The sequence below is a fragment of the Homo sapiens genome, chromosome 3 (assembly GCF_000001405.40).
Source record: "Homo sapiens chromosome 3, GRCh38.p14 Primary Assembly".
Lineage (NCBI taxonomy): Eukaryota > Metazoa > Chordata > Mammalia > Primates > Hominidae > Homo > Homo sapiens.
Genome location: NC_000003.12, coordinates 155,820,195 through 155,836,414, shown reverse-complemented (window position 1 = coordinate 155,836,414; position 16,220 = coordinate 155,820,195). Strand labels below are relative to the sequence as shown.

Genomic DNA, 16,220 nt, shown 5'->3' with positions numbered 1-16,220 from the left:
CTTTAATTTTTTTTATGGTGAAATTTTCTTTGGCTCTATTCCAAGAAGTTACCGTGTATACTATTTATAATTTTTCTTTCTTTCTTTTTTTCTTTCTTTCCTTTTTTTTTTTTTTTTTTTTTTTTTTTTTTTTTGACAGAGTCTCACTCTGTCACCAGGCTGGAGTGCAGTGGCGCGATCTTGGCTCACTGCAACTTCCACCTCCCAGGTTCAAGCGATTCTGCTGCCTCAGCCTCCTGAGTAGCTGGGACTACAGGCGTATACCACCACACCTGGCTAGTTTTTGTATTTTTAGTGGAGATGGGGTTTCACCATGTTGGCCAGGATGGTCTCAAATCTCCTGACCTCGTGATCCACCCACCTTGGCCTCCCAAAGTGCTGGAATTACAGGCATGAGCCACCGCGTCTGGCCTTATAATTTCTTTAAAAAAAAAAAAATTGTGTGATATTGAAGTGGCCTTGTGGTCTAGGGTAGTACCTGAGGTTTGCTGTCTCACAGCCACAGAGATCAAGGACGTGGACACACAAAGAGTGAGGTTAACAGCAGAAGTTTAGTAGGTGAGAGAGAGAATAGCTCTGTGCTACAGAGAGGTGTCCTGGAAAAATGTGTTGCCAGATCTGTGGTGAAATGCAAGGGGTTTTTTAGATGAGCTAGTGGGGAGGCAGTGTCTGTTTTAAATAGGGCATGAAAAACCGGTAAGGTCCAGGTGCACCATTTATATAGGGCATGAATTTCTGGCAGCCCCCACCCTAATTTTTTATCATGCAGGCAGGTTCTCTGCCTGAGCTGCACCATGTTGCCCATTTTTTTACTGTACACATGCTAACAAAAAAGAGAAGGTGGAGCTTTCATGGTGGACATGCCTGGCTCCCAGGTAGCCCTTTTCTGTTGGTTCAGCTGCTGGCATTCCCCCGTGCAAGCTTCCAGCTTGCTTATCTATGTTTGCAACTCAAGTTTTTCAGGCTGCTCTTCGTTAGAAAAGAAATGATTTTGGGGGCCGCTTTTTGTTAGAAGGGAAGCTCTGCCGAGGTCTCTTTTGCCCTCACTATCTGCCTAAATAATTTCTTTCTGCCTACTGTATCGATATAACTTCACACTTCTTGAAAATGTATTAGTAGAACTCCTTTATATCCTTTATCCAGATTATCTAATTATTAACGTTTAGCTACACTTTCCTTATTCTGTAGATGTTCTCTTTCTATGTATATCCATTACATATGTCTTCTGAAATACTTTAGAGTAATTTGTACACATTATGCACTTTTATCCATAAGTACCTTAAGTATGTATTTCCTAAGAACAAGTTTTCTGCTTACAAAACCACAACTCAATATTGGGAAATTTTAAATTGATATAATATTATTGTCTAATTATAGTCCATATCCAAATTTTACACAATAACAGTCCTTATAACTTTAATTTTTTTCTTGTTGGGGATCTAATCTAGGATCACACATTGCATTCAGTTGGTATGGCCTTTCATTGTCCTTAATATCCTTGACATTTTTGAAGAATACAGGCCAATTATGCTGTAGAATGGGCTTCTAGTTACATTTCTCTCATGTTTCTTCTTGTTTGGGTTGAGGTTATTCAGGTATATAAGACAGGAAGATCAAAGAAGTAATGTTTTGATGTCTGCAGGGAATTATACTGAAAGCCATATCATGTCTCTTTATCCCTTTAACTGCTGTTTTTAACTTTAATTGCTTTGCTAATCTATTGTAAAAGTACTATTTTTTCTTTTGTAATTAAAAACTGACTCATGGGGAGATACTTTGAGGCTATCTAAATAATCTTAATTTAATTCTTACTCTTTTTTGTGCTGTTTTAAAGAATTAATCTAACTATACTTTATCCCTTTCATTTTATTCAATCTCTCAGATACGTTTTCCCAGAATTACTTTTGAAACATTAGATGAACTTAGGAAATTTTATTATGGTCAGTCAGAAATCATTAAAAATGTATATATATATTGGCAGTTATGCTTCATTTTAACCAGATTGATTTGGGTCAATTAAAGGCTTAAGTTCTTTTAAACCTAAAACTTTCAAATTGGTAAATTTGGATTTTTGACCCCGTTTACTATAACACATTGGACTTTTTGAAGTGGAAATTTAGTTGTATTTATAGCCATCTACCATCCCTACCAGTACTGAATTTTCAGTTGTTTTCACTTAATATTATTAGAAAACCATAAGGCAAAATGTACCTCGTATAACTTGACTGTTGTACCAGGTATAATAATATGATGCTCACTTGTAACTGTCATGGGTCAGTAATAAAATTGAGGTTCTTGAAGAACTTACATATGCATGGAGGAAAATATTTCATAAGTCACGAATTAAAATACTTTTTTGTTTTTATATTGCAGATTGGTTTTTCAGCAGCAGATGCTGTAACAGGACTGAAATTGGTAGAAGAGGGAGTACCCAAAGAACATTTAGCCTTATTGGCAGTTCCAATGGTTCCTTTGCAGATAATACTGCCTCTGATTATCAGCAAATACACTGCAGGTCCCCAGCCATTAAACACATTTTACAAAGCCATGCCCTACAGGTAAAAATGAAATAAAACCTTACTAAATAAGAAAGGGTAAAATGAGGAACATTCATCAATACCACTAATATCTGAGCGTAGAATTATATATATGGAAAAAGATTTGAAAAGCATCTTTTTTCAATATTATTTATATGCACTTTTATCTTTTTAACCTCCTAACAGGTTTAGATACAGCTTCTTTCATATGGTAGGCACACGGATTTCTGTTTTTGTTGTTGTTGTTATTTAAGCTAAAATGGAAGTCAACTCAATGTTTCTTTCTCTATAGATTATTGCTTGGGTTAGAATATGCCCTACTGGTTTGGTGGACTCCTAAAGTAGAACATCAAGGGGGATTCCCTATATATTACTATATCGTAGTCCTGCTGAGTTATGCTTTACATCAGGTAAGCTTGCAGTGGTTTTCTCAGGAAATAAACTGTTCTGTGTAAAATAAGGAAGACAGCTTTCTACAGTTGTCTTAAAATAATGATAATAAATTTTAAGCATGAATCTGACACTGAAGAAATTATTGATGGTGCGCTTTAAACTTTATGACTTTTCACTTAATGAGTTCTGCTGTTCATAGAAAGAGACTTTTTTATTTATTTATTTATTTTTTTCCCAAGATGAAGTCTTGCTCTGTCACCCAGGCTGGGGTGCAGTGGTGCAGTCTCGGCTCACTGCAACCTCCACCTCCTAGGTTCAAGCATTTCTCCTGCCTCAGCCTCCTGAGTAGCTAGGATTACAGGCACGTGCCACCACGCCTGGCTAATTTTTGTATTTTTAGTAGAGATAGGGTTCCACTATATTGGCCAGGCTGGTCTTGACTCCTGACTTTGTGATCCACCTGTCTCAGCCTCCCAAAATGCTGGGAATGCAGGTGCAAGCCACTGCGCCCGGCTGAAAGAGACTTTCTTATTCATTCATTCATTAAAAAAAAAATTATTCAACAAGTATTTGTTACATTTTAGAATTGATTCCAAAGCCAGCAAATTCTACTCTTGCTAAATATTTCTCAGTTTATCCCTAGGTTTCAGTTCATTCTTTCTTGAATTCCTAATATCTTTTCTTTCTGAAAGTATTGAGAAATAGTATTGGTCTTAGTTTCTGGCTTAGCTTCTGCTTTTTTTTTTTTTTTTTTTTTTTTTGAGACAGAGTCTGGCTTGCTTGCCCACTGCCCACGCCCGGCTAATTATCTGTATTTTTAGTAGAGACAGAGTTTCACCATATTGGCCAGGCTGGTCTTGAATTCCTGACCTCAAGTGATCCGCCCACCTCGGCCTCCCAAAGTGCTGGGATTACAGGCATGAGCCACCATACCCGGCCCTGGCTTAGCTTCTATATTGAAAGTTTTGACTTATTCTTTATGATTTTGAAAGCTGTGTCAAGCTGCTTTTTCTTTCTTTGTTAAATATGTTTGTAATCCTTAAAAGAAGGAATCCCCACTTTGCTCTAGCCTAAGCTGCTGTTGCAGAATGAGATTTTTTTTTTTTGAGACAGAGTTTTGTTCTTGTTGCCCAGGCTGGAGTGCAATGGCACGATCTCAGGTCACCGCAACCTCCGCCTCCAGGGTTCAAGCAATTCTCCTGCCTCAGCCTCCAAGTAGCTGGGATTACAGGCATGTACCACCATGCCCGGCTCATTTTGTATTTTTTTAGTAGAGACGGGGTTTCTCCATGTTGGTTAGGCTGGTCTAGAACTCCCAACCTCAGGTGATCCACCCGCCTCAGCCTCCCAGAGTGCTGGGATTACAGGCATGAGCCACCGCGCCTGGCCCAGAATGAGATTTTTTTGTTCTGGATGCAAGTGATTCAAGTAAATGGCAAAGGCCCAGAAGTAACCTTTGGGACTTAACTGCAGTTATTGCTAATGCATATTTCTGAGTCACTTTGGATTTTTCTAGCTTATATCCTTTGAAAGTTATATTTGCTAATGTATGAATTAATTTTTAACTGAAACGTAAAAATATGACTACCAGGTAATCTCAGTAGTTTTGTGCATACAGTAAATCATTTAGGAGAAATCTGTAGTGGATCCTGTCAGACTAAATTCTATGCTTATAAAATTATTGAGGCCAAACTGTCAAATATAATTTTTTTTTCTGTTTTGCACATGCTTAGTTAAGGCTAGATATGTAATAGAAGGTTAAAGAAATACTTTAACTAGTCAATGCTTCAGTATTTCTGTCGGTATGTTATAGCCCAAAAAAAGTATTTATTTAGCTTTGGATTTCATTTGAGAATTTCCTGAAGTGTAATCACTGAAACTCAGATAACCAGATGCTTTATGGGGGAAAAAAGGTACAAGACCAAATAAATTCGAGAAATGATGTATGACATAAGCCTTCTGTAAGTAGTGCCTTAATGATTCCTTCAACAAATTTTTTTTTTTTTTTTTTTTTTTTTTTTTTTTTTGAGACAGAGTCTCACTCTGTTGCCCAGGCTGGAGTGCAGTGGCACAATCTCGGCTCACTGTGATACCTCCACCTCCCGGGTTCAAGTGATTCTCCTGCTTCTGCCTCCCAAGTAGCTGGGATTACAGATGAGCACCACCTCACCCAGCTGATTTTTGTATTTTTAGTAGAGACGGGTTTTACCACATTGGCCAGGCTGGTCTTGAACTCCTGACCTCAGGTGATCCGCCCACCTCGGCCTTCCAAAGTGCTGGGATTATAGGTGTGAGCCACCGCACCCAGCTTCTTCAACAAATATTAAGTGAACACCTATTCCCTGCCAGAAACCATTCTGAGTACTGAAATATAACTTAATAAATCATGCCCAAATCCCTGCCCTCAAGGAGTGTATGTTGTAAATATTTCAAAAGGCATACAATGAAAGGAACCTTTTCAATTTTGTGTAAGTTAGTGTCTTTCAGTCTTATTTGACTTTGGAACTCCTTTTTCTGTGAACACCCCCAAAAACACTATTCAAAGGAATACCATTATTGAAACACAGTTTGTTTCCATCTTTCTAAATTAAAGGTTAATTCTTGCCTTTTAAGTACTTTTTGCCTCTTAAGGATGTTTTTCTCCAGTTTGTCACATAAATTTTGAAATACTTTTCTTGTGTATATGTAGGAGAAAAATATATATATTCCTATTTCTTTAAATATTTGAGTATTTATATATGTAATAAATGCATACATATAAATATGTATATATACACATGCAATATATGATACATATTTAGGTACAGTACAAATATGAGGTTTTGCATTTTGCTGTATGCATTATGTATCCTTTAGTGCCACCTCATCTAACATTTTCTCCGTGGAGTCTTTCTTGACTACTTGTGGTAGAATTAATCTCTCATTTATCTTTATGCCCCAGTAACACAATGTGTGCACTTCTATTTACAGTACTTCCTGTATTTATAATTATTTATTCCCCATTTTCCAGCCTAGAATAAATTCTTCAATGTCACAGAAGGACCAAGGTCACATCTTTGTATTGCTGGGATCTTTTTTTTTATTTATTTATTTTTATTTATTTATTTTTTTTGAGACTGAGTCTCCCTCTGTCGCCCAGGCTGGAGTGCAGTGGTGCGATCTCAGCTCACTGCAAGCTCCGCCTCCCGGGTTCACGCCATTCTCCTGCCTCAGCCTCCCAAGTAGCTGGGACTACAGGCGCCTGCCACCACATCCGGCTATTTTTTTTTTTTTTTTGTATTTTTCAGTAGAGACAGGGTTTCACCGTGTTAGCCAGGATGGTCTCGATCTCCTGACCTTGTGATCCGCCCGCCTTGGCCTCCCAAAGTGCTGGAATTACAGGCATGAGCCACCGCGCCCGGCCTGTATTGCTGTGATCTTAAAGCCTGGCCTATAGTAGGTGCTTGATAAGTATTTGTTGAATTGAGTTCAATAAATACCATGAAAATTAATTTCAGGTTTATGACTTTGATGTTCTTAATTTAGACTGTAGCTTTATAAGCTTTATAATCATACTAAAGATGTTTTACATTTTTCCGTAGGTTACAGTGTACAGCATGTATGTTTCTATAATGGCTTTCAATGCAAAGGTTAGTGATCCACTTATTGGAGGAACATACATGACCCTTTTAAATACCGTGTCCAATCTGGGAGGAAACTGGCCTTCTACAGTAGCTCTTTGGCTTGTAGATCCCCTCACAGTAAAAGAGTGTGTAGGAGCATCAAACCAGAATTGTCGAACACCTGATGCTGTTGAGGTAAGTATGTTTTAATTTTAGATAACATTAAGCTAATACTAAGATATTAATATCTTTGTTTTGTCTCTAGAAGTACTATATCTTTTTTAAAAATCATATCTGTCCATAGGTTCTGGTTTAGAAATCTACATATATATTTTCTTTCACATCAAGGCTGAGGGTTATAATCATTCAAATCAGCAAGACTAGTTCCCTTAAAGGCGTTTCTCAGTAAAGGAGAGGCGATCTCTCTTTCCCCCACCTTGACGATCACTGTCCTACACAGCAGGCACTATATAAATGCATAATTAATAGCTTAAGTTTTGTAGTGATAGAAAAAGGGAATGTCCATTGGCTATTCCTATAACAGTGATAACTAAACCTGTATAGTGAGTGGTTTGTTGATAAATTCTTTCAAAGTGGTATTTGTCTACTTCTAGAGTAGATGGACTGGAAATTTCTTCACATTTCCGAATGTGAAAGCTGCATCGTGAAAATAGATAATCGGGCCAGGTGCAGTGGCTCACGCCTGTATTCTTAGCACTTTGGGAGGCTAAGGCGGGTGGATTGCCTGAGCTCAGGAGTTTGACACCAGCCTGGGCAACACGGTGAAACCCCATCTCTACTAAAATACAAAAAATTAGCCGGGCGGGGTGGTGTGTGCCTGTAGTCCCAACTACTCAGGAGGCTGAGACAGGAGAATTGCTAGAACTGGGAGGCGGAGGTTGCAGTGAGCTGAGATCGCGCCCCTGTACTCCAGCCTGGGCGACAGAACAAGACTCCGTCTCTTAAAAAAAAAAAAAAAAAAAAAACATATTCGGCTGGGTATGGTGGCTCACACCCGTAATTCCAGCATTTTGAGAGGCTGAAGCAGGCAGATTGCTTGAGCCCAGGAGTTCAAGACCACCCTGGGCCACATGGTGAAGCACCATCTCTACAAAAAATGTAGAAATTAATGGGGCATGGTGGTGCACGCCTGTGGTCTTATCTACTCACAAGGCTGAGGTGGGAGGATTGCTTGAGCCCAGGAGCCAGAGACCGCAGTGAGCCATTATCACACCACTGCATTTCAGCCGGGGCCACAAGTGAGACCGTGTCTCAAAAAAGAAAATGAGTATTGTTTACAGCAAGAACTGAAAATTGTTTTTAATCCTGTTAGTAGCATTAGAGAGATTAAGATACATTAACATATTTTGTCATTGGAATTCAGTGAAATACTGAAATGTTTTAAGAAAAATATATTTTTATTCTTTATAAAGTAGAAGCATGTTAATTGCTAAATACTTTCATTTTGAAATTGTGGAGTATTTATTATAGTTTTATTTTTACAGCTTTGCAAAAAACTGGGTGGCTCATGTGTTACAGCCCTGGATGGTTATTATGTGGAGTCCATTATTTGTGTTTTCATTGGATTTGGTTGGTGGTTCTTTCTTGGTCCAAAATTTAAAAAGTTACAGGATGAAGGATCATCTTCGTGGAAATGCAAAAGGAACAATTAATATATATGCTACTGGACATTCTAGCAAGGTAATTGTAGTTTAGTTTTAATTCGGAGAGCAATGATAATCAGTGCACAGGAGTATAAAATATTATTTTAAACAGCGAAATTAATAATATAAAATGCCAAATGGTTGAAAAAATAGAAACCTTTCTGTATATTTGATCATATTTTTTTTTTGCCTTGTCAATGTATTTAAAGTTTACTTAAGGTCAGGAAATTCTAAAACAACTTTTCTGGCCTTGTTATTTGATGTATATCTTTTAAATTTACTGACCAAAGCATGTTTTAAGCTGCAATGCAGTAGTCACGGGTGGTAACCATGTAGTCAGGTATTGTTATTAGTACCTATCACTGCTGAGCTGTATTTAAAATTTTGGTACAATATATAAAATGGAGAAGAGCTTGATATTCAGGTACTAACCACAACTAGTCTGACATTGTTGGCAGTTAAAATCTTATTTTGAATTGTAAATTAGTTAAATTTTATGTGGAATTTGCTGAGAAAAGAATATAGACTACTGAAATGTCATTTTAGTTATTTTTCTTATGACCACATTGTACAAATGAATCTGTGTTAAAAAGACTATTTTAAATGTATTTCCTGCTTTTGTAAGCATTAAAGATTTATAAGAAAATTATTCAAACTATTTTTTATAAAATGAAAGTTATGATTTTTAAACTTATTGATTCCTCTTGCCCCTACCCCCTCTTTTTGGAAGATATTTTGATTCCTTATAAACTTTTACCCTAAGCTTATATATGTTTTCTGTCACAAGTGCTTCCTGGCACACAGACAGCCAATGGAGGGGATCAAATTCAGTGTTGTATGTATGTTTATGGCAACATTTTGAAAATAAAAATTAAATGTTTTTCTTCAAGTAGTTTTTTTTTAATTGCTGAGAGAAAAAAACAGTAAAGCTTTCTGATTAAGTAAAATTTAAATGGGCAGTACCATAATTTAAAAAACTAATACTTTAAAGAGAGAGACAAAGATATTTTGTGCCTTTGACAAATTAAATCTAATAGTGGAAAAATGTTTCTTAATTAAGCACTTTACTAGTGAAAAAGATCTCACAATTTATGCCAAATCAGGTACTGTATTTTCATGTATTAACACATAACCTTTTGTTTGAATACTATAGTTTTCAGTGGACAGTTGCTATTCCAAGAAAATTAAGCTTTTGAGTACTTTAGCAATTCCCAGCGTATTACATACACCCAGTGATAAGGTTCTTTGCATGTTTTGTGTTATGTATTACTCTGACTCTTTAGAGATTATATAAATCCTCCAAAAGTTAGACGAAACAAGATAGTACATTATGAGTCTTAATTTTATCATTGTGGAAAAATGTGTACTAACTCCTGATTTTGTTAATTTTATAACATAGGTTGAATTTTAGAGTGGGGTTTTTATAAGTAATGGAGGATAAAATGGGTGGGAGAAAATGGCACACAGCACCTGAAGAAAGATGGGGCAGTGACCTCTAGAACTCATGCATTGCCATTGGAAAGCCTGTGTTGGGCATCGATGTCAGATCCTGAAGAATCACCTGGAAAAAATCCCATCCTAGAGGCAAGGAGGCTACACCAAACCATACACTACAGTACTTTGTCACATGGTTGTCCATTATCATGTATTAGAGTCTAAATGATTACTTGAATAAAGAAAAAAAACCACTTAACTCTTACATATGAAATGTGTTTTGATTTTTAATTTTTGGATTAAGAAACTCAGATTGCCATAATAACCTTTTATTTCTTCCCGTGTATATTATTACAAATTATATATACTTTCAAACATAGTTTTTTTTTTTTTTAATTGAGACAGAGTCTCACTTTGTCACCCAGGCTGGAGTACAGTGGTGCAATCTCGGCTCACTGCAACCTCTGCCTCCTGGGTTCAAGTGATTCTCCTGCCCCAGTCCTCTGAGTAGCTGGGACTACAGGCGCACACCACCACACCCGGCTAATTTTTGTATTTTTAGTAGAGATGGGGTTTCACCATGTTGGCCAGGCTGGTCTTGAACTCCTGACCTCAAGTGATCCACCCGCCTCGGCCTCCCAAAGTGCTGGGATTACAGGCATGAGCCACTGCGCCCAGCCTTCAAACATAGTTTTAATGTCAGTACATCTTTAATGACTTGAAGTTTTAAAACATTTTAAGCCTTTAAGGTGAAAGCCATTTAATTAATTTGCTCTAGAAATAAGCACAAAAAATTATAGTTAATTTGAATACATGTATGTAATGCATGTCAAAATAACTTGTTAATAGCTATGTGCAACTGTGTTGCATACATTGATCACTAATGGCATTTAAAAATGATCTGCCTAAATCTGAGGATCTGTTTATTATAAATCAGTAGTACTAAAATATACCACCCTGTTTTTATGTTGTGGGTGTTTTTCTTGATTGATTGATCCTGATAAATTAAACAGTACCTTCAAGTATGGACTTTTAACTCCTCCAGTTAATGCATCATATGTTTACTGGCTAATATTAGATTGAACATTTTTCTCTCTATGTCAGTATCTCCATATGCACATTGGTTGCCGCATATATACATCTGAGTTTGAAAAGTTCTTCTGAGATTACCTAAAAGTAACACCACAGATTCCTTCCATTGTAAATACTTTATTTTATTTTATTATTATTTTTTAGAGACATGGTCTCACTTTTGCCCAAGCTGGAGTACAGTGATGCAATCATAGCTCACTGCAGCCTCAAATTCCTAGGCTCAAGGGATCTTCCTTAGGCTGGATGCTGTGGCTCACACCTGTAATCACAACACTTTAGGAGGCCAAGGCAGGAGGATCACTTGAGGTCAAGAGTTCAAGACCAACCTGGTCAATATAATAAGAACCTGTCTTTATGACTTCTTTTTTTTTTTTAATTATCCAGGCATGGTGGTACACACCAGTAGTCCCAGCTACTTGGGAAGCTTAGGCGGGAGGGTTACTTGAACCCAGGAGGTCAAGGCTTCAGTAAGCAGTGATTGTGGTACTACATTCCTGTCTGGGTGACAGAGTGAGACCCTGTCTCAACAACAAAAAAGGATCTTTCCACCTCAGCCTCTCTGGTAGCTAGGACTACAGGCACACAGCACTATGCCCAGCTAATAAAAAATAATAATTTTTTATAGAGGTGGGGTCCGCTATATTTTCCAGGCTAGTCCCAATCTCATAGCTTCAAGCAGTCGTCCAGCCTTGACCTCTCAAAATGCTGGGATTACAGGTGTAAGCCACCGTGCCCTGCCCATGATAAATATTTTAATTTTGCCTGATAAGTCATAAAAAGTTTATTCAACACCTTAAATAGATTTCTCAATTTTTTAAAAATATTAAACCTTTGAAATCGAAAGTAATTTTTGGATTTCACCCCTTTATTGCAAGGTTTTTGATGTCTGTGGGAAAAACCCCTGAATTGCTTGTGAAACTCTGGATATGTAATTTTTTTTCTTTTTCTGAACAGAGTAAAATCTTGGATGGGCCATGATCCAAAAATCATGGTTTTGAAAGTAGACCGTACTATAAGCCATAATCACAAATCTGAGGTAATAGTTGTGAAAGTGTTTAAAACATCCTGAAAACAATGTTGAAAAAAAAAATCTATGATAAAAACTATAAAATCTCTGCATATGTTATACTGTATTGAACTTGAAACTTTGAAGGAATTAGAGTAGATAAGACATTAATGGTAGAAGAGAAACCACAGGGGTGAATTATATCCTACAAAAGAGAAATCTTCATGATTTAACCTTTTTTTTCTGAGTGACTTTTATTTTGCCTTATTAACAGAAACCTGAGAAAGTATGTTGCTTTGTATTAAATGGTTGAGACCATTATTTGATATAAAAGCTGAAAATTTAATTTTTGTATTTTGGAGAATTCTGTGGTTCCAAGTAATTGAAAGAATGACTAAAGCTGTATGTCATAGACCCTGCTAAAATGAAATAACTTGTTGGGAACATTCCATGCAGATTTCCAAAATGTATTTTACCTTATTATTAGAGAAAGAAAATAAACTTTTAAAATAATCTGATAACTAGCATTCATATATTTAATAAGTATTTTGGTTACAGAAGGGAAGGTGATACTGTACATTGTAACTGCTGAGACTTTTTTTTAACCAATGTCTTTGGTAGATAGCGAGGCACAATTATTTTCTCTTAGGGAGGATTTTGAATACCTATTGCAGGCTGGGCATGGTGGCTCACGCCTGTAATCCCAACCCTTTGGGAGGCCGAGGTGGGTGGATCACTTGAGGTCAGGAGTTTGAGACCAGCCTGGCCAACATGGTGAAACGCCGTCTCTACTAAAAATACAAAAATTAGCCAGGCATAGGGTGGCACACGACTGTAATCCCAGCTACTAGGGAGGCTGAGGCAGGAGAATTGCTTGAGCCCGGGAGGCGGAGCTTGCAGTGAGTTGAGATTGCGCCACTACACTTCAGCCTGGGCGACAGAGCGAGACTCCGTTTCAAAAACAAACAAACAAAAACAAAACAAAAACACCTACTGCAGACCATGTTCTTTTTACTTTATTTTATTTTATTATTTTTTTGAGATGGAGTCTGGCTCTGTTGCCCAAGCTGCTCACTGCAACCTCCGCCTCCCGGGTTCAAGCGATTCTCCTGCCTCAGCCTTCCAAGTAGCTGGGACTACAGATGTGCACTACTACGCCCAGCTTATTTTTGTATTTTTGGTCGAGATGGGGTTTTGCCATGTTGGCCAGGCTGATCTCAAACTCCTGACCTTAGGTGATCTTCCCGCCTTGGCCTCCTAAAGTGCTGGGATTACAGGCGTGAGCCACCGCTGCTGGCTCTTTTTACTTTAGATTGTATCTGCCTGATTTGACAATGCCAAATTTTTTATGTAATCACCATTTGGTTTGGGACTGAGAGCTCTTTCATTTTCTACCAGTCAAACCACTATTAGAGTCTTCATGTTACTTCCCCAATTTGCTAGCAAGGTAGAATCAGCATGGATAGCTTATTTTCCTTATTGGAATTCTGTTTTGGAAGAGGCAGGTCTTATAGCAGGGCAGACTAATTAATGTGCTGAACTCATTCCCTCCTGCTTAAGTGAATAAAAACTTTTATTTGACTATGGATTATAAAGATTGCCTTTAAGGAGCCTTGTTTATTTTGGGGAAGGAGAATGGATATTTTGTAGGAGAAAAAGACTTTATATAGTAAATGAAAAGTCTATGGGCTGGGTGTAGTGGCTCATACCTTTAATCCCAACACTTTGGGATGCCAAGGTAGGAGTATTGCTTGAGCTCAGGAGATCGAGACCAGGGAGACTGCATCTCTATTTTTAATTAAAAAGGAAAGAAAAAGAAAGAAAGTTCTATGACTAATCACCTTTACTCTAAAAAAATTTTGCCCAAATGTGTAATGAAAGAGATCATATTTAAATATCAGCAATATTAATTTGCATAGCTCATAAGAAGTCTTGACTCATTTAGAAAAAGGTTGCTACAGTTTAATAGTTTTTTATTGTCAATATAGACAATATAACTTTATAACAATTTTATGTGAAGAATAATGATTAAATGGCATGACTGAAATGCACAAGGTACAGGTACAATCCTTAGGGAGTTATCTTAAATTTCTTTTTTTTTTTTTTTTTGAGATGGAGTCTTGCTCTGTCGCCCAGGCTGGAGTGCAGTGGCATGACTCCCTGCACCCTCTGCCTGCTGGGTTCAAGTGATTCTCCTTCCTCAGCCTCTCCATTAGCTGGGATTACAGGTGCCTTCCACCACACCTGGCTAATTTTTTTGTATAGTATAGACGGGGTTTCACCATGTTGGTCAGGCTGGTCTCAAACTCCTGACCTCGTGATCTGCCTGCCTCGGCCTCCCAAAGTGCTGGGATTGCAGGTGTGAGCCACTGCACCTGGCGGGAATTATCTTAAATTTCTAAAATTGAATACCCCAGTCAGCTACAATTAATCAATCACTAATGTAAATATTAAAGCCTATTCTTATTTTCCTTGAAATGATCTTAAATGTTGGAAAAGTTTAATTTTGTAGTCAGAGTTAGTGAAATTGAAATTTTTTTATCACCTGCCCCTATAAAATTAGAGAAATATAAGATTGGAAAAAAATTTGATATTTAAGAAAGTGGCATATTTGAACCAGGTGTGTTGGCTTACACCTGTAGTCCCATTAGTTTGGGAGGCTTAGGCAGGAGAATCACTTGAGGTCAGGAGTTTGAGACCAGCCTGGCCAACATGGTGAAACCCTGTCTCTACTGCAAATACAGAAATTAGCCGGGCATGGTGGTGGGCACCTGTAATCCCAGCTACTTGGGAGGCTGAGGCAGGAGAATCGGTTGAACCTGAGAGAGGGATGTTGCAGTGAGCCGAGATTGTGCTACTATTCTCCAGCCTGGGCAATAGAGTGAGACTCAGTCTCAATTAAAAAAAAAAAAAAAAAATGCGGCCGGGTCCAGTGGCTCACGTCTGTAATCCCAGCACTTTGGGAGGCCAAGGCAGGCAGATCACTTGAGGTCAGGAGTTGAAGACCGGCCTGACCCACATGGAGAAACCCCATCTCTACTAAAAATACAAAATTAGCCGGGTGTGGTGGCCCAGGTCTGTAATCCCATCTACTCGGGAGGCTGAGGCAGGAGAATCGCTTGAACCCGGGAGGCAGGGGTTGCGGTGAGCCGAGATCGCACCATCGCACTCCAGCCTGGGTGCAAGAGCGAAACTCTGTCTCAAAAAAAAAAAGGAAGTGGCATATTTGGTAAATTGATAAATTACCACTGTCAAATTATATTGGTGAGTCTATATCTATTGTTGTCCCCAGATGTTGCCTTTGCAAGAATTAGTGTAAAATTGGAAAAAATACTCAATGTTGAAAGCTGTCATTGTTGAGATCTTTATGAAATTATTGTGCCCATGTCCAAGTTTGAATTAGAGATACACAGCACACAATCATTTCTGTTACCACTTTTGGAATATCTAGCATTAGCCTTGATAGTTTTGTGTGGTGTGTTTTGAGTATATCTGAACTGTTAGTTATATTTGGTTAATTTATTAAAAGATGTGTGTTAAACCTTAATATTTATGCAGTGTTTAAGTATTTGGAATATATTTGAAATAAATTATCCAGTGTTTTAGATAAATGGTTATTTAATTGCTTAAAGTGATTCTCTAAAAAATAAAACATTAATGAAATATCTTGTTTTCATTTTTATTAAGTAGTAGCTAAATTTACTTTCAAATTAGTCTTGTTAAAATTACAGTAGATTGGCACAATTAGAACCAACTGCAGTAATTTCAAGTAACTTACACTTACTAACAAATCTTTTGTTTTCTTTATTTATGAAGCCATCCTCAATTATTTTTTTAGTTAATTTTTTTTCTTTTTTTTTTTCTTTTTTTTTTGAGACAGTCACTCTGTCACTCAGGCTGGAGTGCAATGGCACGATCTCGGCTCACTGCAACCTCCGGCTCCCGTGTTCAAGTGATTCTCCTGCCCCAGCCTCCGGAGTAGCTGGGATTGCAGGTGCGCGCCACCACGCCCAGCTAATTTTTTGTACTTTTAGTAGAGATGGGGTTTCATCATGTTGGCCAGGCTGGTCTCCAACTCCTGACTTCAGGTGATCCACCTGCCTCAGCCTCCCAAAGTTCAGGGGATTACAGGCATGAGCCACCACCCAGACTATTAATAAAAGATAAAGGGCCAGGCGAGGTGGCTCATGCCTGTAATCCCAGCACTTTGGGAGGCCAAGGTGGGTGGATCACGAGGTCAGGAGTTTGAGACCAACCTGACCAACATGGTGAAACCTCTTCTCAAAAAAAAAAAAAAAAAAATGTCTGGACAAAGAGGAGAGCAGGTAGAAGCATGGCGCTGTTTCTTTATTTGGAATTATTAAGAATTTCGGCCAGGTGCAGTGGCTCACACCTGTAATCCCAGTACTGTGGGAGGTCAACGCGGGTGGATCACCTGAGGTCAGGAGTTTGAGATGAGCCTAGTCAACATGGTGAAACCCTGTCTCTACTA

The 16,220-nt window shown here is 38.0% G+C and overlaps 1 protein-coding gene across 13 annotated transcripts in view; it reads left to right on the top strand.

Moving 5' to 3' along the window:
* The window catches only part of SLC33A1 (solute carrier family 33 member 1), a 33,404-nt gene extending 18,013 nt beyond the window's left edge, over positions 1–15,391 (top strand). For 3 of the 13 annotated variants that reach the window (XM_047449200.1, NM_001190992.2, XM_047449197.1), the window contains 5 exons: positions 2,374–2,558; positions 2,830–2,947; positions 6,512–6,727; positions 8,038–8,233; positions 9,596–9,895. In XM_047449200.1, coding sequence (XP_047305156.1) covers positions 2,374–2,558; positions 2,830–2,947; positions 6,512–6,727; positions 8,038–8,205 — 687 coding nt within the window. In that variant the 3' untranslated portion in view covers positions 8,206–8,233; positions 9,596–9,895. Of the gene's footprint in view, positions 1–2,373; positions 2,559–2,829; positions 2,948–6,511; positions 6,728–8,037 lie in introns of those variants that run through there. The other 10 variants (XM_017007464.2, NM_004733.4, XM_017007463.2 and 7 more) reach the window with 8 other exon arrangements.